This window comes from Homo sapiens, chromosome 1, assembly GCF_000001405.40.
Source record: "Homo sapiens chromosome 1, GRCh38.p14 Primary Assembly".
Classification (NCBI taxonomy): Eukaryota; Metazoa; Chordata; class Mammalia; order Primates; family Hominidae; genus Homo; species Homo sapiens.
In genome coordinates, this window is record NC_000001.11 from 34,601,591 (window position 1) to 34,626,886 (window position 25,296).

The window sequence follows — 25,296 nt, forward strand, 5'->3', positions numbered from 1 at the left end:
CTGGTGGTTCAGCCACACAAGGATCCCAGAATGGCCAGGGGACTATCTCAGCTTCTAATTACTGGGAAGCCCAAGGTCAAGGAAACAGCAAGTGAAAGAATCTTCAAGTAGGTTACTGAGTGTAATTGTGAAAAAAACTACTTCCACCTCTTCCTTGGGGCCCAGATCCATTCACTTTGGCTATGGAACAGCACCAGACATTGACTACTGGTTTAAGACATACACCATACCCTGCAGAATCCAACCTCATCTTCGCAGATGCTATTCATCAATTGAGGCTATTCAGTTGTAACTGAACTTTCAGCAGACCTCTCCTTCACCTTATCAAGCCAGTTTCTTCTGGGTGATGGGGCATGTGGTTAGAATAGTGTGCGTGGTCTTTAGTTCAGTACCTTACTCCTTTGCCTTAAAAAGTTTGCCCTGGTTGGAAGTATTACTGTGTGGATATCAAGGGGATGATAAGTCCAGAAATGATGGTTCTGGACTTCAGCTGGTGCTGTAGGCAGGAAAAGAAAGCCTATATTTGATGTACAACCTACTCAGCCATGCCCAAACAATGTACCATGGGAGGGCTTTGTTTCACGGAAGTATTAGGAAATGCATTGGCAAGGAGGCAGAAGATTCATGGAAATCACTGGGCTTATCACCTGCCCCATTTCCCAGAAGGAGCTGGCCTGATAGGAAGGTAAAACAGTCTGCTGAAAGTTCAAAGCAAACGTCTCTGCTTGTGGATTATTATAGAAGTTCCACATTCCTTGTCTCTGATGGTTCGTCACCACCGTCTTGCCTCGACAGCACTGGGACCCCATTATACCACAGAGATCAAGGATCCTAGTTCCATCTCCAGCTTACAGATGACTCACTACAGAGCTCTTCAAGGATTCTGGTACCTATTGTCAATGCATTTTTCAACATCTTGGTGCACCCTCCACCCCCATGGTGTACCCAGGAAGATTTCACAGACTTTCTCCCTGCAGAACTCTTAGATCATCAGTACTAGCAGCCAGGGTGACTTCAAGTGGTCATCAAGCACAGACGTGCGTGCACTGCAGGCAAGTCTTACTAGTGTCCTAAGGGGCAAGCCACAGTTCAACACAATTCCCATCATCACCAATTCCCTCAGGTGAATTGGCCACCATGCCATTTTCCTAGATCACTAGGCAAAGCCACAGTCGGGAACTCAATGACACCCAAGAGAGATCTCCGACAGCACAGTTCACAGGGCACATTAACCAGCCCTCCAGGCCATTGGTAAACCACAGCCAATGGCAGCTGTAAATGACTTTGTGTACATACATATGTCACACTCAGCACATATAGCCTTTACACACCTCACCCTCATCACACCTGCACCCCTCAGAGGGGTTCCCCAGACAGCACATCATCAGCAATTCTACACACAGGCTTATACACAAATACACAGGCACTTGGATCTTTCTTTGAAATAGAGTTGTGCCACAGAAAACACTTTAAGCCGTCTGCTTAGAGAACTCAGAGATCTTGTGTGGGAGGCACGTCAGGGGCTGGGTGAGGGGAGGAATCTTGAAACCAGACATAAACGGAGTGGAGGCAGGCAGGTTTACCCTGAAGTTGTTTTATGTCTCTCACAATGGCTACCAACATCTCAGAAGTCAGGAAATTGAAAAGTGAGCATCTCATGCTATCCACTTAGCGGAGCGGCTATCTGGAATTGAATTCCGAGAGAGACAGAGAGAGAGAGAGAGAGAGAGAGAGAGAGAGAAAGAGGAATCATTTGTCCTCAGAGAAGGACTAAGAAGGATCTGTGCAATGAAGACAGCCCACATCCTAGAGATACCCAGATCTGGGTTACAGCTGCACTAATTAGCTGTGTGAGCTTGGGCAAGTTATCTCACCTCTCTGAGCTTCAGTTTCCCAGTTCTATAATAGGGTTACCGTGAGAGTTCAATAAGACAACTTTAGGCAGTACCTGGCATTCAGAAAGTGCCATTTCTCTTTTCTTCCCCCTTCTCATTAGGGAGAATGAGGAACGTGAAGCCTCCAGGGACACTGGGCCTCATACCCCACAATCAGGCACCAAATCCTAGCCACTCTATTGTAATTTTATTTCTGTCGCTAAAGTGCTTCACCCCTGAATACTGGATCTGAGTTTGACCCAGTATTTGGATATCTGCCAGTTTTTGGCTCCATGCTGGGATTTGGTTTTCTGCCTTCTCACATGAACTCTTTTTGCTGACTCTGCTTCCTGACTCAACTCCATTCTACCATTTTTCTATTTTTCTCTCTGTTTCTTCCTTCCTCCCTCCCCCCTTTCCTTCCTTCCTTCCCTCTTTTCTTCTTTCCTTCTTTTCTTTCCCTCCTCTCTCCTTCCTTCTCTCCCTGTCTCCCTCCTTCCTTCCTTCTCTCCTCTGTCCCTCCTTCCTGTCCAGAATAGCTCTGAAAAATCTGCAACATGTCCAATGCCGTGCTAGGCACGCAGCCTAACAGACAGTCCCAGAAACAAGACAGATGTAGTCCCAGATCTCAAGGGCCTTCGTTCAGATAGGGGAGACAGAACATGAACAAATATATAACAGAATGTTAAAATGCAATTGTTAGCCAGGGCACCAAAAGACAATAGCTCTCATATGTCAAAGGAGGTTGTAGACCATATGCACAATTTGCAAAGGAGGTTGTAAACATCAGTTTCACATCCAGTGTATGCGCAGGTCAAGAGTTGGATTTGGGGAAAAAAATATTTTAGCAGAGAATTTATTGGAGTAAGCTGTGCTACGAATCCTACCCCTACCCAGGGTGGAGGAGAGGGAGGCTGTGGAAGGCCATGGGAGGTACAGCTATACTGACAGGTGTTTGGTTTTTCTTCACTTCTGGGCATCAAAGAGATTGTACTTCATCTACCTTACCTTGAAGTCAGGGATGGCATAATTTGCTTTGGCCACTGAAATGTGCCACTTGCAGATGGAAGCATTCCATGACAGGATTCAGCCCTGCTGCCCTCTCTTCCTTTGCTGTGACAATTGTAGAAACACTTTTTTTATTATTTAATTCTATTAAAGTCATTTAGCCCATTAATATTTATAACAATTACTGAAAAGAAAGAGGGGGTCATCTTAGGTCCTATCAACAGCATCTGAGTGACTATCTAGCAGCTACTTAAGGTAAAAATTATTTTCTCATATGAAGCAAAAGTTAAGTTCACTAAAAATAGTTGTTTTTTCTCAGGCAACAGGGTTTTTTGTTGCTGTTGTTGTTGTTGTTGTTGTTGTTGTTGTTTTGTTATTGCTTTTGAGATGGAATCTCACTCTGTCGCCCAGGTTGGAGTGCAATGGCGCAATCTCAGCTCACTACAACCTCCGCCCCCCAGGTTCAAGCAATTCTCCTGCCTCAGCCTCCCAAGTAGCTAGGATTACAGGTGCCTGCCACTGAGCCCAGCTAATTTTTATATTTTTAGTAGAGTCGGGGTTTCACCATCTTGGCCAGGCTGGTCTTGAACTCCTGACCTCGTGATCTTTCCGCCTTGGCCTCCCAAAGTGCTGGGATTACAGGCGTGAGCCACCGCGCCCAGCCTACAACAGGGTTTTTTATTGTGGGCAAACATAAAATTTACAGTTTTGACAATTTGCAAGTATATAGTTCAGTGGCATTCAATACATTCACATTGTTGTGCAACCAACATGACTATCCACCTGCAGTACTTTTTTGTACAACCATTTTTTATATCCAGGTGCCATAGATTAAAGCATCCTGGAGCACTGAGTCAACGCTTGGAGGACAACTGCTCTTTTGTGTTATCTGGACCCACAGTGGATTGAAAGCAAGAAATAAATTTGTATAGTATTAAGCCACTTTGGTTGGGGTCTGTTTGTTAGCTCAGCATTATCTAGCCTAGCCTGATGAGTACACAGGTGCTACCTCCTCACCCCAAATCAAGAGACTATGGCTTTGTGATACCCCCTGGAGAACGTAATGTGGGAATCCTGTAATCTCACTTGAGAAATCCAAATGTCAAGAGGCTGGCTGCCACAGCCTGTGATGCAGAGCTGAGGGCTACAGTCTGGAAAGTGACGTTCTTCCAGAGTTTGCCAGAGCAAAGGAATAACAAGACTTTCACATGAATCTGATATAAGTCAAGTGCAAGAGAGAGCCAGGGTGGGTGTCATCTTAGGTCCTTTCAAGGAAGGCCACATGGAAGAGCAAACAGACCTCAGCAGAGAGAAGGCGGAGATGCTGCTGGATTCTCAGGAGAATGCAAACAGCCGAAATAGAGATGCATGTGGTCTAGACCAGGGACTGCAGGTGAGAAATCTTCAGTGAGAAGGTGGGCATCTCTGAAGTCTCCCAAAAGCACCCATGAGAGGAAGAAGTCACTTTAAACATGTGCCAAGTCCAAAGAGATTTGAAGCTGGTCACCACTATGATAACAGTCAAGTGAAGTCATCCTTGCTCCCCTAACCTCTTCTATGACTTCCTCATCCAGTCCTGGAGGCATCATGAACATGGCTAGCAAGATGAGAGAGGAGTAGAAGTACTACGTGAATGAAGAAAGAGAGAAAGCACCAACCATACATCTTCCTTCCCCTACAGCTTCCAGCATGCAGCGGGCTGAGTCGAGAAGTCTATCCTTCAAGGCAAGATTGTGGGGCTGCATATTTTAATTACTAAATTAGAAATATAGTAGAAACTTAAAGTATCTATAGGACTTTTTATTATATGGTGACAACCATAGATGTTAAGAGCCCAGTTGGGTTTTTATCCAGAGACAAGAGAAGAAGTAGGCCCATAGAATGTATTTTAACTGGGATCATGGGAGACAAAAATAAAATTGCTTTAGAACTGCATCTCACAAGCCATACTCCTTCAACATAATGGCACAAATAAATCTACACATATTTTCTGAGATCAGCAAAGTCATGTAAAAGATTTGACAGGAGTGTTATAAAGAAATTATTTGTGAATCAAAATGAGAAGTGGTCAGCCACAGGCACAGAACAAGTGGTACTTAGAGGACCACTGGACTGTCCATCCCAGCCCTGAGGATTCGGGTCACCATGGACCGTGGCCTTGACCCCTTCAGTTTCCTGTAACATACTTGTGGCATATGTACAGGTTGATTCTTTAGGGTATCATGGCTTCACGTTGTTCACCTTTCACATTGCGTAATTAAATCCTATTGTTCTAATTGCACATGTACTAGGAGTGATGGAAATTGTCAACTGGCTTTCAGCATCCACTCCCACCTCCTTCTACTGAGTATTCCTATACTGGAAAGATTTGATTTAGTCTACATTTCCAAGACTCCCTTGGAGATTGAGTGATTGAGTTCTCGATGAGAAATAGGTTTCATCATTCAAATGCACCTAGGTGAAATTTTGCAGGGAAAAGTGAGGCAGGGGCTGTCTTCCTTTTGACAAGCAAGGGAGTAGAGATATTAGTAGGCTTTCATCAGACTTCATGTTTCAGCATCCAGGCAATTGTGGTAGTGCCACAGGCAGACTCCTGAGCCCTAGATCACAGCTATAGCTTTGTACATTTGACCTCAATTATTTCAGGCTCAACCTCCTGATCTCCTGCTATCCAGATTACATCAAAGGTAACAGCTCCCCCAGTGGATCCATTCTACTAGGAATCAGTCCTGGAGGCCCCACTTAGAGTTTGTCCTCCAAGCCATCCAGCTATTTTGGAAGCACCTAATTCCTCATCATAAATAAATCTCTTTCTTCTTCAAATATCCAAAGTTCCTGTGTCCAGCATTAAAACCTGACTGATGCATGAAAACACCTTCTGATTGTAATTTAACTACGCGTTTGGCATGGCCAGAAAGAGAGAATGCTGTGTCCAGAGGACATGAGTAGCCATGCCATTCCCCCAAGTGGTAATATTTTTCAAGGAGGTCTGATGTCGCACGCCAGAACTTTATGAAATCCACTGGCCTAAGTACATTGGTATTCATTCCTGAGTTTGATCCGTTCTGGGGCATGGACCAAACTGTTTATGTAAGGCTAGACTGAAGCCTGGGCATGGTGAATTCACCAAGAAAAATAGCACCTTGTAAGGCCTGGGGGGAAACAGACCACCTGGTTTTCTCTGGTGGCACCTCAACTTTGTACACACTTCAACATTCAAACACCCCAGAAGTCCTTCTGTGTCTCCATATGGCCACTCCTGGTGAGATCAGACCTGCCAGGCTGTACTGCCCATGTAGCCGATCTGGACCACTTGTCTATGCCCTCCATCCCCAGTCCTCCTCCTGCTGCTCCCTCTTGTGACAAAATCACCATGCAGTGACATTGTCCAGTTAGCTGCTCTTTAGAAAACACTGCCACTTTGGCTGGAAAAGTCCAGCATTGACGCATTCCCACCCAGGCAAAATGCACCCAAGAAACAAAGCAAGTTGTGCCTCCCTCAACCACAGCAGGGAGTCATGCATCAAAGTCAGTGTGTTGGCAGGGACGGCAACCTCAACAATTTTCTCTTAACCCTTCCTTTGTTCTCCATTCCGTTTAAGCTCCTTGAACAACAGGTGCTTTTGAAGACAGAAACTGTGTCCCCTTGTCCTTACATTCTATACTCCTAGCTCTGGAGTATACAGAGTAGATGCTTAGTGATGGTTTGTTGGATGAATGACACTTCTAGTTGTTGCCTTTTTTCTTGCCCCTCTCCCCTTACACCATGCATACCAGCCACAGAGGGGAGATTTCATTCCATGCCTTCCCATACCCTCAGCCTTCGCACATTTTTTTCCTCACTACGTAACACACATCCACCTTCAAGTCACCATTTACACCTACACTTTCCAGGAAACTTTCCTGACTCGTTAGATTGGTTTCTCCCATTAGACATTCCCATAGCTCCCTGTACTTCCTCCTCATGGTACCCATCACCCCTACATGTAACTACTTGTCCAAGTGTCTGCCTTCCCCACTGAATGGTAAACTGCAAGGAGGCAGTGGGCCACACACTCTGTAAACATCTGTAGAATGAAAGAATGAATGAATTTCTCTGTGAAACACATGCATTAAGAGTTAGGACCTTTCTCTGAAGAACTCTCCGCCAGAATCTCTAACCACAGAATATCGAAGGGAACCCCAGTCTACAAGTTGGCCCTTCTAGAAGATAGCCCAGCTTCTCCCCCACCTGCCCCAGGTTTTTCACACTTAACTCACCCACCAGGACTCACTGGTCTCTTGAGGGTGGGTATTTATTTATTTTATATACTATATTTACTACAGCAATTTGCTTTTATCTTTTCTCTATTTTCCTTTCGTTGTGCCATTTTTAGCCCATTTTAGTTCTTTTTTATTATATTTTCCCGTTTTCCTTATTCCTATTCAAAAGAAAATTTCATTGTAAGAAGGCATAGCTCTAAGCAGCTGATTTTTCCTAAACTGGAAACATCAGGTGTCACTCCCATCTTCTCCTATTCCTCCCCACCAGCTAGCACTACAGAGCAATTTCTTCCATCCAGAGGAAGCCTTCTGGTCCTGTCCTGGGAGAGTCCCTAGACTTTAAAGACTTTTCACTGGGATGGTGAAGTGTTTCCCACCAAAAGTCACTGCGTCTAATCACGGAAGAGAGCAAAAGGCCAAGCTTCTCTGGCCCCAGAGAACAAATAAGTTCAGCCTCCAAATGCAACCTTATTGTGAGTGTAATTCATCTGTGTTTCCCCAGAGCCAGGTTCAGGAGCCTTCAACTATAAAGTGTCAGAAAATGTCTGAAAAGTGAATAAATTAACAATGATTGAATGAATGACCGAAAGAGTGAATGGATAGATGAATGAATGGGTGGGATGATGGTACAGGGATGGACTAATGAACAAATGAATAAACACGAGAAATGAATGAAACAGTGAATGAACCAATGGGTAAATAAATGACAGATGGATATGATGGTCAGAGGGATAAATGAGTGAGTGGGAGAGTGAATAAGTAAATTAGTGGATGAGTGATTGAGTGACTAGATGAATGAATGAATAAACGAGAATGAATGAATAAACGAGTGGATTAATAAATAAGTTTTAGTGAGCCCTATAACTCAGGCATAAACCAGACATGCTCCTGAGACTGGAAAATGAAACTAGATACTAAAAATACAATAAAGTAATTTTAAAAAAAACACTGTGATAATACAGAGCTCATTGATCAGGGCCCCAAGATCAATATTCTTCTGGACAAATCTTCAGTGTGGTTTCTCAGCCCCACCCGTTGACTGTCACTGGAGCTGTGGAAAAGACAGATTGAGAGACAGTGTGTGGGTGTTGAGAGGTTGTATGTGTGATCAGGACAGTGGTTCTTTTCTCTAGCTGTGCTTTAGAATCCTTTGGGGAGTTTTCAAAATGTAATTGTGATTTACTTGGATTCCAGGCAGAGGGCAGGGGGACAGGAGCAGAAAGGAGGGAGGCATGGCTTCGTTTCTATAAAGGCCCCCACAAAGTCTAATGTGCAGCCAGGGTTTGAGAATCGCTGGTTCCAAGGTGAACAACATTCTGATGTGGGTACTTGGACACAATCATTTAGATGCCAATGGCACCTTCACGTGACCAAACAAAAAAAATGGCCTTTCTTCTGTTCTTTTAACCAAGTAATGTGTGAAACTGACACACACACACACACACACACACACACACACGACTTATTTTATTGCCTACCCTGCCCACACCCTCTGGAAGGGGCAACCTCACCCCATGACTCCCCCTCCCTCACTCCACACCCTTGGCTGATTTTACAGGGTAGACAGTTGGCCTAGGGGCAGAGTTCAGGGGTAGAGGTCAGATCAGGTAAAAGTCAGGAAAGGAGCACAGTTCCCAGAAATGGGGAGACACATGGGCAGAGAGGCTCAAAGATATCTAAAATACACAATATTTTGACATTAAAAAAATGTTTACATAGCCACTATGACCCAGTAGCATTCAAAATCATCAACATAAAATGTCTCTTTTGTCAAAATATCTCTCTTAGGAGGCAAGATGGCTGGTGAGCTTTTGTTATACAAGGAAACAATAAGATCCCTGACAACCACCTGGCCAAAGGACAGGCAGGGAAATCAGGTGGAGAACAAGCCAGCCACTTGAAAAATAAGTATGGTGTTCTCAGTGCCTGGGAACCAGGGATCTGGGGAGGCACTTCTCTGCTTCAATGAAGGGGCTTAAGTTTGGGCCACCAGACAGTTCCAACAGTGTGTGTATGGTCTGCTTCTTTTCTGTCCAGGTTACCTTCATTTTTAGGAAGGTTCTTTTTGGAAGTTCATTCTACTGTCTTCACTGTACCAAGAAGAGATGAAAGGAAAAGTTTGAAGGAAAGTGAGAAGAGAGAAAACCACTAGGTTTCTTGGGATGGAGAATAGGTAGGTATAGAGTGGAGTAAAGCACAGGGAATTGCTCACCTATTCCCAGGTACTTGTTCCAGGGAAAGATAAAGGAAAGGGAGGGAAGGAAACTTGAAACTTGAAACTTGCAGGAGGTAAATTCAGGATCAATAAAAGGAAGTGCTCCTTCACACAGCAGGGAATGAATTTACAGAACTCATCACCCCAAGAGGAGATGCAGCTGAAAATATAAGATCCCAAAACCTATAGATACAAATTGGATGATTGAAAGAAAAATGATGACATTAAGTTGACATCTAGGAGAACAATCCTGTTCTCCCCCAATTTACTCTTTAGTGCCTAGTTTAAGACAAGATCCTGCACTATGGGTACCAAGGAGATGACCTAGTGTGATTATCCAACAATCTCATGTTTGATTGCCTAGGAAACTAACTTTTCTTCCTTCTTGCTTCCTTCCTTGTAAGCACCAGTGACAGGTTCCATCTGTTAAACACCTTCTATTTCCCAGGCACTGTTACTTTACACCCACTGTCTAATTCAAATCAAGAATCCAAAAAGCATTTATTGAGTACTTTCTTGTGTGCTCATCACTTTACAAGATTTTACAGGTAGTGGAGAATTAAAAGACTCTGTCTAGGTCTTTGAGAAGTCTATGATACATTTGAGAAGACAGAAAAAAATGTGCATAATTTATTAAACAATTGACAGGTATAGGAAACCACTGGAGTTGATTGATAAATACAGGAAATCACTGTATGTTTGAGGCATGTAAGATAAGAACTAGTGAGGGCTAAGGACTTAGCCAACGTGTTTATAGCGGGTGATTAAGAGTAGTGCCCTGGCTCCAGACTACGCGATTTCAAGTCCCAGCTCTTCCATTTTGAAGCTGTGGAATTTGGATAAGTTACTCAATCTCTCTGAACTTCAGTTTCCTTATCTGTAAAATGTGTATGCTAAGAATACCTTCCTCTTGGGGTTGTTGAAGGATTAAATGAATCAATGCATGCAAAGCATTCTCCTGCTGTCCTCGCCTTTGGTTAAACCCTTCTAGAAGCCAGACATAGGAGAACCCACTGATGTGGACCCTCTAGGTCTGCCCACCAGGGCAGAGACCAGTGTGGAGAAGGGACCTGGAGGAGCAGAACGGAGATGCCGGGCGCACCATCCAACCTAAAGCACATTCCCGCTGTCATCCTCACAGAACCTTATTCTTTTCTTTAATTGCAGTTAGAACAATTACTATTTATTTAATATAAATTTATTTAAAACAATGCCTGAAACATAGTAAGTGTTCAATAAGCATTAGTTATCAGTATTTTTATCTTTCGTAAGGGCCAGCATGAGGAGAGAGGTGACCCGGAGGGCAGGCCAACCACTTCCTCTGCTGTGTGCTGTGTGATCGGGATGAAATTCAGAAAATCTCATCTCGTGCTGTCTCTCCTGAGTGCTGCACTCTAGACACACTGCCCTTCTCTCTGTTCCTTGAACACAACAGTGAGCTCTTTCCACCTTGGAGTTTTCACACGCGACTTCCTCCTGCCTGGAGTGTCTCTCCTCCCCCGTTCTTCACATGGCTGGCTCCCGCTCATCCCGAAAGTCTAGCTTAAATGTCACTTCCTCAGAGAGGCTTTCTATTGCCATCTGTATCCATCAGGGTCCTGGCAGGAAACAATGGCACATTCACATTAGGATAATTCAAGGAGGTTTCTAAAAGGACTATGCATAAAGGCATGAAGTGAGACAAAGGGGTACCATCAGGGGGAGGACAGAACTGCCCCTAGCCAGGAAGGATGAAGGAACAAGACAAAGAATGTGGCCAGCCCAGGGTAACCAGCCAGGGAGAAAGCTAGGGGAATAAATATCCCAACCTCACTCTTCTCTCACCCTCTAATCTCTGGCTGACCACCCCCTTTGGCTGAACTCTATTAGAAGCCAGACATAAGAGAACCCACTGAGGTGGACCATCCAGGTCAGCCCACCAAGGCAGAGACCAGAGTGGAGGAAGGACCTGGAGGATCAGAATGGAGATGCCAGATGCACCATCTAACCTAAAGCACATCCCCCCTCAGAACCTTACTCTTTTCTTTAATGTCAGTTAGAACAATTTCTATTTATTTAATAGAAATGTATTTATTTATTTTATTTAAGAGCTATCTCTAGGCCGGGCGTGGTGGCTCACGCCTGTAATCCCAGCACTTTGGAAGGCCAAGGTAGGCGGATCACGAGGTCAGGAAATCGAGACCATCTTGGCTAACATGGTGAAACCCCGTCTCTACTAAAAATACAAAAAATTAGCCAGGCGTGGTGGCGGGCGCCTGTAGTCCCAGCTACTCAGGAGGCTGAGACAGGAGAATGGCATGAACCCAGGAGGCGGAGCTTGCAGTGAGCCGAGATTGCGCCACTGCACTCCAGTCTGGGCGACACAGCAAGACTCTGTCTCAAAAAAAAAAAAAAAAAAAAAAAAAAAAGAGCCATCTCTCACAATGCCATGAGCACTGAAACCATCTTGGCTTTGCTTACCACCAGGTACCCAGTACCTAGCACAGCGCTGGGGACATAGCAGATAATTGATAAATGTTTGAGACAAATAAGTGGATGAATAAGGTTGCCACTACACAAGAAGTGATAGCCAAAGCTCCAAACTGTATTGTTCCAAAGATATACAGCTGTCTCAAGCTTGGCCCAGACCAGTAGTCAAGTATATCAGAATGCAAGAGACCCAATCTATGTGGACATGTGTCCCCTCTATGCAGAGACTGTACCTGGAGTGACATGATCCTGGTTGGAGGTCACTTGTCCACTGTGAGCAGGACCTGAGTCAACAGCTGAGAATTAGGGACAGATCCAACCCTCAGGAGGGGACCTAGCAAGAACCACGCAAGGCAGTAGGGCCTCAGCTGGAGCTCAAGCTCAAGCAGGATCCCGGTTGCCTGGGGAAAGAACTGAAGCCGACTTTGTCATGGAGTCTCACAAACCAACCTCCCTCCATTCTCCACACTGCAGCCAGTGTGATTTTTCTAAATTATAAATCTAATCATGCCATTCCCCCACTGAAACTCCCACTCACTTTCTCATTTATTCCATGGCTGTGATGTGCAAGTCAAAACTCTTTCACATGGTTTGTAAGTCCCTGCATATCCTGGCCCCTGCCTGCCCCTCCCGCCTCATCTCACCTTCACCTCCAACAGGCACCCGTGCATACACTTGCACGGTGCATGGGCACACACACCACCTCACCCAACTTTCCACTATGCCATTCCCTCTCTCACCTCTGTGTCTTTATACACACAGTTTCCTCAACTAAAACACTCTTCACCAGCAATTCTCTTCCACTTGGCTAACATTTTTCTTATTCTTTGGGTCTCAGCTTAAACTTGCTTCCTTTGGATCGCTTCCAGGGATCTTCTAAGGCAGGGTTGCAGAGCTTCTCCTTAGGGTTTGCGGGTTATCTCAGCACCTTGTGCTTCCCTCATCAGAACACTGGCCCCTCTGTGTCATATTTGCCTATCTGAGTATCTTTCTCCCTACTGCACAATGACTTCATGAAGGTGGGGCAGAGTCTGCCTTTTCCTCCGTTGTATACCCAACACATAGCACAGTTCCTGGCACATAATAAGTGTTCAAAATATCGCTGAATGACTGAGTGGATGGATGGATGGTGGGTGGATGGGTGGTCCATGACTGATGTTAAGAGAAAGCTTTGATTCAGAGCAGTTCAATGGAGGCTCATCAATATGTACCAGACCAAAGAGAATCAGAAAGTGCTAGTCATTCCACACCCACCCATGGGGTCAGACATGCTGAAAGGACCTCTGCCCTGATTCGAGCTTCCAAGGGAGGTTTTATTGCCTGTGAGTGAGCAGGGTCAGGGAGGCCCAGGTTAATGTTACGCAGGAAAGACTTCCTGAGAGAAGTGAACACTGGGATTCAACAGAAGTGATGTGCGGGAGAAATAATACTGTCAAGCATGTTATTGAACACTTATTTTATGTCACGGTCTGAGCCAAGAGCTTATATATTTTATTTCATGTAAGTGACAGAGGCAGAATATGAACTCAAAGAGTCTGATTCCAGCGCTACACACTTAATGAATATACTGCAAAGTCTCTCAAAGCTTGGATGGAGATGAAACAGGAAGGTGTCCCAAGCACAGACACCCAACAAAGACAGTGCTGGAAATAAGCAGGTCCTGGACAGGATTTGGCACAGTGTCAGCTCCAGCAGATGTAGGCAAGCAGAGAGCAGAAGACAAAGAGTGAAAGATGAGACTGAACATCAGACTAAAGACTTTCGGGTTGAACCCACTGGCAATAGGATGTGTGTTGGAATCGTGATTACCTGGTGCCTGAGAGAGAGCTTCCCATGGCTGATGTAAAGGATGGGTGAGAAAGGAAGAAAAGACAGAAGATCAGCTGTGAGGCTCCAGGGTGACTCAGGTGACAGGTGACAAGTAACAACTTGGAAGGAGGCCCGGGAATAAAGGAGCCATGGCAGAGGAACACAGCGTAAGATCTGAGGAAGTCAGAGGCAGTGGGGAGCCCCCATTCAGCCCTATCATTCTTTTTTTATTCTCAGGGCAAACTAAAGTATTAACTCAGTTCTGGTTCCTACCCCAGACCCAAAAGCTGCTTCTGTTTCCAATTGTCAACACAAGCAGAAAGAAAGTCACCCACCTTGGTTAATTGCCGTTCTGCTGCATGGAGGGGCCCAGGGATCCCAAAGTCATTAAGCCAGGGATGGTTTTGGTGTCTCTAACCTCCAGTCTCTCCATGATACTGAGGAATATGCTTGATTTAATTGGCCTGCTTTAAAAAAAAAAAAAATCTTGTGATGACTTTCATGGAAATAGACTACTAGCTGAGAGACCTTGGTGATGAATAAAAGTTTAGTGCCTGGAGAGCTTCACCAGTCCACCACTCTGAACCTGACTTCCTCCGGCTGGCTAACTCTTCTCCCAAGTGTGTCTGTCTCCTTGACCAAGCAGAGACAGCCCACCTAGGGGCTGTCACTTGGAGTTAGAGGTGAAGAGCAGAGCTGGATGGAGGCACATGGGAATCTTGCCCTCTCTATCTCCCATCTGGCACCCAGCGTGTGCATTCTAAAACGCACACTCATTGATTCATTATACACCTTAAAACCTGCAGGAGCTTCTCAAGATCCTAGAGATGAATTCCAAATCTTTAACGTGGATTTAAGGCCCTTTGGCATCAAGCCTCAGGCCAACTCTCTAGCCTCATATAAGCTTATACTTTGTGTTTCCTGGCTGTGAATGGCTTTCAAGTGCCTCGGGGGCACCCTCTTGCCCCTCATTGCAACCGGGGGAGGAGGCCACAAATGTACCAGGCATCCCATCAATGCAGGCTGATGGAGCAGTAGCAAATTGCAATGACCTTATATTTAACTTTGGGAACCTGTATTGATTTCCTGGGGCTGCCATAACACATAAGCCACTTGGTGGCTTAAAACAACAGAAATTTATTTGTGCCCAGTTCCGGAGGCCAGAAGTCTGAGATTGAGCTGTCAGCAAGGCTATGCTCCCTTCAAATACCCTAGCGGAGAGTACTTCCTTGCCCTTTCCAGCTTCCAGTGACTGTCAGCATTCTTTGTGTTGTGGCTGCATCACTCCAATCTCTGCCTCCATCTTCATATGGCCTTTTCCTCTTCTCTCCCAGAATTCTCCTCTTTTGTCTCTTATGGAGTCACTTATCATTGGATTTAAGGCCCACCCAGATAATCTAAGATGATCTCATCTTGAGATCCTTAACTTAGTTACATCTGCAAAGACACTTTTTCCAAATAAAGTCACATTCACACGTTCTGGGTTAGGATGTGAAGGCATCTTTTCGGGACCTGACCAAAGAAGGGTGAGTTGGAGGTAACTCTTGGACCGAACAACTCTTTGGAAATAAAGTAACAGATGAGGAATGGCAGTGTGGCCCAGGGAGGTGTCAGGAAGGGCAAAGGTACCCGTCAATTTGCTCTTTAAGCTGTATCCCAGTTTTGCAGTGAAGCTGTGACCCCCAAGGAAACTCAGAAGGGACCAAAAGTAGACCAGAGCCTGAGGTATACTTCTGTCACCGCTTCCTCTGGAATTGGGATCCTGCCCATCAACAGCCCTTGACCTCAATGCACTGAGACCCACATCCTTAAGTCTATTTTATGAGCTTAAGGAAAGAAGCAGATACGGGAGAAAGACCATAAACTTTGGAGTCAGGAGACTGGGTTTGAATCCTGGCTCTGCAACTTTCTAGTTGCTTCGTCTTCCTTCACTGTAAAGGGGTAATGCTATTTCTCTCTCAGGGCTGTTTGGGTTAATGAAATATGAGCACTGTGCCTGGCCCATAACAGGGGTTCTAGACATGTTCTGCTTCCTGGCCACCTTCAAATGTCACCTATTCCTTCTGTGGATATCCAGAAAGGATGTCCCCACACCTCCCCAATTCTGCAGGCATCCAGCCCGAAAGGGAGGCTGAAAAAGACAGACAATCATGGGAAGAGGGGAGCTCTAATGGACTCTCTACTTACGCTGCACAAACAAGCTCGGACAGAAACTCCTCCTCCTTTGTTCTTTAGGACCCAGCAATGCTTCAGCCCCTGCCACCCTGCATTAAGCAATCTTTCAACTCTCTGTCCTTCTTTATCTAATAAGTGGGGCCACTGGGTGAAAGTTGGCACTCCCGTGGTACCTTAGCATGCCTTCCACTTTTCTCCTGGTTGTTATGTAGGATATGATACCATTCGCTTAATCTATTGTTGCTGGACCAAGACAGGGCTATTTAAGTCACACTCTTGTTGTTGAAAAGTCTAGCAAAGCTCATATCCTTTGAGTATAACAGGAGCCAAATATTCCAAGATTCTATAAGATATTTGTAAGCAAAAAGACAGAGGGGACCAGTGAGAAAAAGTATTGCCAAATTGGAGATGAAAGTCCTCTGATATCCCACCACCACAACCCCTTTCCTGCCCCCATTTGTCACTCTGTACTGGGAAATGTCACAGTATGAGGAGGTGGCTGATGTTAGGAGAGATTGTGCAATACTTGGCAGTGGTTGTAAAATATTTCCGGGGGGAGGAATTTCTTGCATTCTATATAAGTCTAGGGAAGAATCATTCCCCTTTAGACTTGAGGCTTCACATTGCCTCTCTCCATGTGACTGGCTCTTTGGCCCCACTGGGATAATAACATTTTCCAACTTACTGCAAGCTAGAGGGTCGTTGTCATCTTTAAGCTAACCCAGGGTGCCAGGGGCCACCGTGACTGAAAGGTGTCCTAGTCTAGCTATACCTTTATTGAAGGAAACTCTAGTTTGGGCCAGCAGTTCTCAACTGTGGACAATTTTGCTCCCCAACCCCTACCCTGGGGACATTTGGTAATGTTTGGAGAAATTTTTACTTGTTGCTATTAGGCAGGGGTTGCACTGGCATCTAGTGGGTAGATGCTAGGGATGCCACAAAACATCCTATAATGCACAGAACAGCTCCCACAACAAAGAAGTATCCAGCCCCAGATGTCCATAGGTTGAGAGTTTAAGAAGCCCTGAACTGGACCCTTCATACACAATGTGGAAACACCTCTTTGAGTTGCACTAAACTCACTCCAGCAGCATGGGTCATGCCTTGGCATTGAACACTTGCTAGTGGGCTGGTTTTCCCTCTAGCAATGGGCTCACCCAACTCTCTGCCTGCAACCCCGCCCCCTCAGGAAGAGCATTCTTGTGGCTAAGATGAAAGACTCATGCCGCAGGCCCCTATGCCAACTAGCCACTTGATTGCTTTTAATTAATTCTGCTTGATTACAGCACATGGGAGTCACATCGGACAGATAAGACAGGCTCTTTATATTCCATCTTCATTAAAAAGTTTGGATCTGGAAGTTTTTTCAAAGAGCTATGTGTCTCCTTTACTTTTGTGTCATTTTTAATTGAGGAGGGCACAGGGAGATGTGCTGAGCTGTGCTGAATGGAGACTTTGCAAATGCAAGATGGGGTGTCTGAGGCCCCTTCTGGGGGAAAAGGCAGCTAGACTGAGACCCAGTAATCTGAAGGAGATAGTCAGGACAGAGCCAGTCCACTGTGTCTGAAAGAGGTGTAGGGAGAGGAAGGGAACCACCAGCATCTCTTTTATTCCATTACCAATAGTGCATTAGCCCAGATCTACAGAACAACACGGTGCAGATTCTTTGCCAGGTGTGGATTCTAGGGTAGGAGCTTGAAGATTGTTCCATGGTAATAAGAGGAGAGGGAAAGGGAGGATGGATTACCACTAATTATCTGTAGCCTTCTTCTCTAGCTACAGGACCATACCCTCCTTGGGGACACCTTGCCCAACTTCTCCATGCAGATTTGATCACTCCTGCCTCTCTACCCCTACAGTGCATGGTTCATCTTTCCAGCAAAGCATCGTGTTGTATTAGTTATCTATTGCTGTGCAACAAATCACCGCAAAACTTAGTGTCTTAACACAACAAATATTTATTATCTCACAGTTTCTGTGTGTCAGGAATTCAGGTGTGACTTAGCTCAGAGCATCTGGCTCAAAGTCCCTCATGATGATGTAATCAAGGAGGGTAGGATCCACTTCCAAGCTCATTCACATGGCTGTTGGCGGGCCTCATGTCCTCACTATCACCTGGAGATATCAGTTTCTTGCCATATGGGCCTCTCCACATAAGAACTCACAACATGGCCACAGGCTTCCAACAAAACAAATGAGCCAGCGAGTAAGAGGGCAGCCCAGAACAGAAGCCAGAGAGTCTTTTTGTAACCTAATCTTGGAAGAGACATCTCACCACTTTCACAGTATTCTATTTGTTAGAAAACATTTGCTAGGTCCAGCTTACATGCAAGGGAAGGAAAACACACCAGGGCATGAATGCCAAGAGGTGGGGGCTACTGGGGGCTATCTTGGCGGCAACCTACCATACCTGTTGCATTGTAATAATCTGCCTCTTCTTCTAGAAAAGTCATTCCTTGAACTTGAGACCCCTGTTCATTTACCTCTTAACCTCTAACACCTGCCCCAGGGTCTGGGACATGCTGGGCACTCAAGAGGTGTTTGGTAGAATGAACAAACGCATAAATGCATGCATGCATGTATGAATGAATTAATGAATGAATGCATGAGTGAATGAAGTAATCATTTCTTAAACCTTAATTAGACTTGTCAAACCAGTCTTCAACAAAGAAAACATGTTTATCTCCAGAACTGCTGTGTCAGGAGCAAATATATCCAGATCATCTAAAAATTCAATTAGGTTATTAAGACATAAATTCAAAATAACAGCATGCGATCATATTTTATTCCATTTAACATGGGCCCATTACTATCCTCTCCTATTATAGTTTGGTCTGAGTCCATTTTTAAATATTTTCTCTGTGGAGACTAATGACTGGTAGTAAATCAATAATGCTGAAAAATAAAGCTTTTCATTATTTTAAACTGCATTCAGGTGACACTAAACAGTACAGTGATGATCAGGAGTGAAGCAGTTTTGTCTAAACCTAGTTAAATTTCATGCAAGATCAATCAAAAGAGGAGCCTGGAACTCAGGAGCAGAGGTTTAAGAGTGACCAGGAAATCCTAGAGCCTGAGGACCCAGCACACAAGCTGGGATGAGTCAAGGGCTGGAAGGTGAGCCCAGCTGAAGCTGATTGAAATAAATCAATCCATGTCAGTGTTGCCCCCAGGATCAAGACAAGCGTTAACAGGTAGTCAACAAATGAACAGTTGTCCAAGCAAGTTCAGCCACAAGAAAGTTTAGGAGACAATAGGTGTTTCTGCAGGTGAGTGAAATAGGCAGATGCAAAGAACATGGCAGGGAGTGAGGAAGCATAAGGTCCCAGGGCCCTGGGCTCACAGACAGAGCATCTCAAACGCACAGGAGTGGTCTGAGCCAAGTAAGGTCCCAAATTAGGAGGACTAAAGTACAAGGTCAGAGCATAAGGTGGGGAGGGAGGGACTGCAAAATTAGCCCCAGATATCAGGGGTACAAAGTTAGAACTTGGTTTCAGGATTAAGCAGGCTTCTATTCAAGATTGGACTGAGTCCTCGAGGTGCTAAATCTTAAAAAGAGGCTCCTTCAAATTCCCTTTCCCCAGAACTGAATTGGGCCCAGAGCCTGGAGATGACTGGAATGGGGACACTGGGTTCTAGGGAAAGAGCAAGGAACCTGAACCTTCCTATCCATCCTACCCCCAACTCCTGAAGGAGAGGTGCACTCTCCAGTACTCAAGTTCAGGGCCAGCATATTGGACCATGGTCTCACTGAATAGGATTCCAAAAGGGTCCAGCAAACATGGGTGTGGTCATTTTATGGATGTTCCGTCTTATCCCATGAGATTAGGTAAGAGAGCTCAAAGGAACTTTCTGGGAGTAAAAAATCTTGGTGGTTGATCTAAGCCAGCCCAGCTCTAAGCATCGAGGTAAAACCTCTTGGCCCTTCTTCTGGTTCTATTAACAAACATTGAAGCTTTGGGCTAATCTGTTCTCCCACTGAAATGGTACAAATTGAGACTTGGTTCCAAGCTTTTAGGGTGGAAGAAGATGAAACAGATCAAAACATTTTAGGCCATGGATGACCACACAGGTAACGCAAATATGGCCCCTCGTAACCAAGGCTGCTGATTCATGCACCACATTGAGTTCTGTGTATAGAACACCCCCAGGTTGTCTTGGGTTCCTAGCCTACAATCATGACATGAACATATCTCAGCTACACCCCAATATTACTTCCAGGAGTCAGTTAGACCAAACCTGCATTCCCAGGAATCAAGATGGGAGAGGAGGGCTCTGGGGTTCAGAGTCAACCGGGCCATTGCAGTTTCAATGGAGAGACCTGCACAGGCAGTTTATGGAGAAAACCAATGGTGTAGAAACCAGCATGACCATAATTTGCTGTAGATAAAGGGTGAGGCTTTTAGAAGATGGGAGAAACCACATATTGAATTCATCCTAAGGGAACTACTTCCAAGGAGTTAATCAGGATAAATCGTTCAGTGTGGGTTATTTCTTTATTTATTTAACAACGCTTTATTGATGCCTACCTGCAGTGTGGCAGGCACTGTGGGGAATACAAACATGCTGAAGGTATGGTCTCTGGCCTCAGAGGAGCTTGTAATCTGGTGGGTGAGACAGATGCCTACAGAGTTAACACAAGAGACGAAGGAAGTAGGGGAAGGGTTGAGCATGCAACTAGTCAGCCTCCAAGTTCCAGTTAGAACCCTTAGGCTCAGATGTCAGGCACCGATTTAGAATTCCAATGCCGTGGCAGAGTTGGAAAAGCCCTCCCAGGTCTGGGGGTAAAGGAGCATCCTTATGGACAGCTGGAAGGCAAAGTGACCCGTGGGTCCAATCTAAATCTGAGCATTCCTGGTAGTTATTCTAAGTCTTGTTGGCTGGTTGTGTACACTGTGGCTAAGCCTCATGTTAAACAAGAGGTGCTGGCTGTGGGTGAGCTGAATTATTGGACTGTCTCAAAAACTGAATATGGGGTAGACGTGCAGGAATGGGGAGCAAGGAAAAAGATATTTGACATGCATTCAAAAATATTTCCTGTTTTGCAAGATGAAAGAGCATTCTGGAAATTGGAGGGTGGTGCTGGTCGCACAAAAATGAATATATTTAATACCACTGAACCATACACTTAAGATGATACATTTTGTTCTGTGTATTTTACTACAATTTTTAAAAGTTGAAAAAAAATCTTTTTTTTTGAGACAGATTCTCTCTCTCTGTTGTGCAGGCTGGAGTGCAGTGGCACAATCTAGGCTCACTGCAACCTCAGCCTCCCGAGTAGCTAGGACTACAGGCATGTGCCAGCATACCCGGCTAATTTTTGTATTTTTAGTAGAGATGAGATTTTGCCATATTGGCCAGACTGGTCTCCAACTCCTGGCCTCAAGTTATCTGCCCACCTCGGCCTCCTAAAGTGCTAGGGTTTACAGGCATGAGCCCCCACACCCAGCCTGAAAAAAAATTCTTGAATTAACTAATACGTACCAAGCATTATGTTATATGCTAGCCCAGACAAAAATGTGAATAAGACAGAATCTTTGCCCTTCAGATGCTCACAGTTTGAGAGGGAAAGGCAAGAAATAAGTAAATTTCAGCTCAGACATCACCTCTCCCAGGAAGCCTTCCCTGATCCTCTCAGTTTGAGTTAGGGCTGCTTCAAGCTCCACCTTAACAGTCTGTGCTTGTTTGTTTCATAATTATCTTCATTTATTTAACAAACATTTATTAAGCCAGGCATTAGGGATATAAAACCAAATGAGGCTTTCAGTGTGAAGGAGGAAACAAATATACAGATGAACGAGTGCAAAAAAAAAAAAAAAATCATGACTGGGTACAGTGACTCACGCCTGTAATCCCAGCAGTTTGGGAGGCCAAGACAGGCAGATCACTTGAGGTCAGGAGTTCAAGACCAACCAGACCAACATGGCAAAACCATGTGTCTACTAAAAATACAAAAATTAGCCAGGCATGATGGGGCATGCCTGTAGTCCCAGCTACCCAGGAGGCTGAGGCAGAAGAATTGCTTGAAGTCAGAGACTGCAGTGAGCCAAGACCACATCACTGAACCCCAGCCTGGACAACAGAGTGAGATTCCATCTAAAAAATAAAATTAAAAAAAAAAAATCACTACTGCAACTCTCTGACCCCAAGGCTGAGCTTCTGAAGATTGGGTCCAGTAAATCTTGCTGAATGAATGAATGAAAAGGTGGATGTATGAATAAATGAGTGCTGTGGTGTAGATGAATGAGTTACAAACTATATGACCATGCATTTGAACAGAGGCCATTTAAACTGGGTTTCAAAAGTAGAATAGGAGTCTGCAGGGAGAAAGCAAATGTACCTCAGACAAGGGCATGGCTGTGGGAAGAAGCGTGCAGATGGGGGAGCTGTGGAGAGTTTGGTACTGAGGAATCTGGCAAAGAAGCAGAGGGAACCAGGTCTGGAAGGGCCACGTGGGTTCTAATGAGTTTGCAGTTTGCTGTGATGATGATTAAAAGCTACAAAAGGTTTATAAGATGAAGAATGTGGCTTTTTTTTTTTTTTTTTTGAGACAGAGTCTCACTCTATCACCCGGGCTGGAGTGCAGTGGCACGATCCTGGCTCACTGCAACCTTCACTTCCCGGGTTCAAGTGATTCTCCTGCCTCAGCCTCCTGAGTAGCTGGGACTATAGGTGCACGCCACCACACCCAGCTGATTTTTGTATTTTTAGTAGAGACGGGGTTTCACCACATTGGTCAGGCTAGTCTTGTACTCCTGATCTCGTGATCCGCCCACCTCAGCCTTCCAAAGTGCTGGGATTACAGGTGTGAGCCACCGTGCCAGGCCCTAACTTTTTATTTCAGCTTGCTCATTCTGCCATGGGTTGGAGGAAGTGCAATTGAGTCTGTAGAGGATGGTCCAAAGGGCCAGGTAAGAGATGATCTTTACTTATGTGGCAGAAACAGACAGAGAAAGACACTGAAATTAAGAAATACTTAGGAAGTATGGCAGACAGGATTTGGCAACAAATTGGCCTGGAAGGTGCATTCATTTATTCAACAAATATTTATGGAACCTTGACTGTGTATGAGGCACCATTCTAGACACTGAACAAGAGAGCCAATGTCTCCACGCCCATGAAACTTACACTGGGGGAGGGTGGAGGTTACATAAATAAACAAGCAAACAAAAATAAACATGATAAGAATGTGCCATGCCATGAAGTTGGGCAAGTTGTTTAATTTTTCTGTGGCTCAATTTCCTCATCTGTTAACTGGGGACATTAGTAGAACCCCCCTCATAGGGTGGTTGTAAGGGTTTAATGAGTTAATGTATGTTCAGAGCTTAGAACAACGCCTGTCCCATAGTAAGCACTCTGTAAGTATTAGCTATTATAACAAGAAAAACAACATATTAAAATGCACGGAGGTACTTCCATCCTAGAGCTAGGGAAAGGTGACTTTGGTTAGCAGGTGAAGGAAGGATTCTCTGGGTTGCTTACTCTTGAGCTGGAACTAAAAAATGGATAGAATAACCAAAAATGCAAAGTTCTAGGAAAAAGTGCTCCAGACAAGGGAAAGATCCTGAGGCTGGAATTAGGAGCATCCAAAAAATAGAGAGTCAGCATGGCCAGAGTGCAGTGAACAAAGACAGGGCTGAGAAATAAAACCAGAGGCGGGCCAAGGATAGATCCTGAGGGGCCTGCTGCAATAGTGGTGGGAAGGAAGCTGTTGGATGGCTTTACATAAAACAGTGATCTCCTTTGATTTCCATCTTTAAAACATCACTCCATAGGCTTACAGTAGGATGCAAAATATGGCTACTATTCTCTCCAATTCCTGTGAGCTCACCCCTTTGCCATGTGGTACAGCTGCTCCCCCATCAAGAGAAGGAGTCTATTTCTCTATCCACTTGGTTCTGAGCTGGCCTTAGGAAATTCCTTTGATCAAGAGAAGGCAGCAGAAGTTATTTGGGGAGCTCAAAAGCCAGATCTCAAGTACAACACTGCACAGCTTCCACTCTTAGCCTCCTGCTGCCATGTATATTAATCATATTTTTTACTTTGTTTTATAATGTTTTGACATCTTTGGGGAGCTTTGCTGGCTGGGGAGAGACTACCCCTCTCTAGCTAATTCCTAGAGACAGTGAACAGCTTGTCGGTGAGCATGCCTCTCATATACAGACCAACCAACCCACATGCATGCCCCCAGCCACCTCCTTCCTCCAACTCTCACACATGAGGCAATCCCCTGCCCTAAATCAACCTAGGACCAAGTACCAGACAGCAAGCAACAGCCCTAATGCTCCAAAGCCCACTGGAATTATTCAAACTAGCCAATCCTAAACCGTTTGCCCTGCCCTGCCTTGCCTTCCTGCGGAAACCCAATAGAGGGCATGGCTTCCACTCCCTCCTTTCTGCCTCCTGACCACCACTGACGCTTCCCTCTGTGGCCCCGTGTGGCAAGCTGTTCCGTGCCTCTTATTTCTAGGGGAACTGGGAGTAACATTCAACTTTTCTTTCAATGGCACTGACTCATGTCATCACCTAGTCACCTTTATAATGTAAGACCCAAGCACAAATTGCCCTTTGAAGGAACTCAGGCTAGCCCACTGGAAGATGGGACCACAAAAAGCAGAGACAAACTGTCCCAGCTGAAGGTCCCTGGACCACCCAGCCCCGGCTGATTTGTCACTGACTGCAGCTCAGTGAGTGACCCCCAGAGAGACCCACAGAAAACCCACTGTGTGTCCAGGGTTCTGGGGTGGTCCTAGGTGACCAGCTTCCCCAGGGGTGACTTCTCCCTTTCGATCCAATTCACATCAAAGATGAGTCTCAGGCCTGGCACAGTGGCTCACAGTGCTCACTCCCAGCACTGTGGGAGGCCAAGGCGGGCGGATCACTTGAGGTCAGGAGTTTGTGACTAGCCTGGCCAACATAGTGAAACCCCACCTCTACTAAAAAATACAAAAATTAGCCAGGAGTGGTGGTGATGCATGCCTGCAATCCCAGCTACTTGGGAGGCTGAGGCAGGAGAATTGCTTGAACCCTGGAGGTAGAGGTTGCAGTGAGCCAAGTCGCACCACTGCACTCCTCCCTGGGTGACAGAGTGAGACTCTGTCTTAAAAAAAAAAAAAAAAAGTGAGCCTTAAACACCATGTGATGCCTAAGCAGTTTATTCTGGCCCTGCTCCAGTGAGACAGAAAGCGGGAGCAGCCCAGTGGTGGCATGAGCCAGATACAGTCAGAGGGTCAGACGATCAACTGACCAGGAGGATGGATGTCAGTGCAGAAACCATTCTCAGAATCTGGGGGATTCTTTCCCCTTTCTTATACCTGCCTATTAAACATCCAAATGGAAATGTTGAGCTCTAAGTTGGACATTCACACTGGAGCTCCAGGGAGATGTCTAGGCGGGAGACATAAAGCTGTGAGTCATTCAACTTATAGAAGATGTTGAAAGCTGTGGGTCTTAGGAGATCACCTATAAAAACATGGAAAGAGG

At 45.2% G+C, this 25,296-nt stretch overlaps 1 long non-coding RNA gene across 3 annotated transcripts in view; it reads right to left on the reverse strand.

Moving 5' to 3' along the window:
• Positions 1–25,296, reverse strand: part of LOC105378641 (uncharacterized) — a 227,461-nt gene that overhangs the window by 143,732 nt on the left and 58,433 nt on the right. For all 3 annotated transcript variants that reach the window (XR_001737964.2, XR_001737966.2, XR_001737965.2), the window contains exons 2-3: positions 13,974–14,105; positions 2,883–2,987 (exon numbers count right to left, since the gene is read on the reverse strand). This is a non-coding gene — a long non-coding RNA (uncharacterized LOC105378641). The remainder of the gene's footprint in view (positions 1–2,882; positions 2,988–13,973; positions 14,106–25,296) is intronic.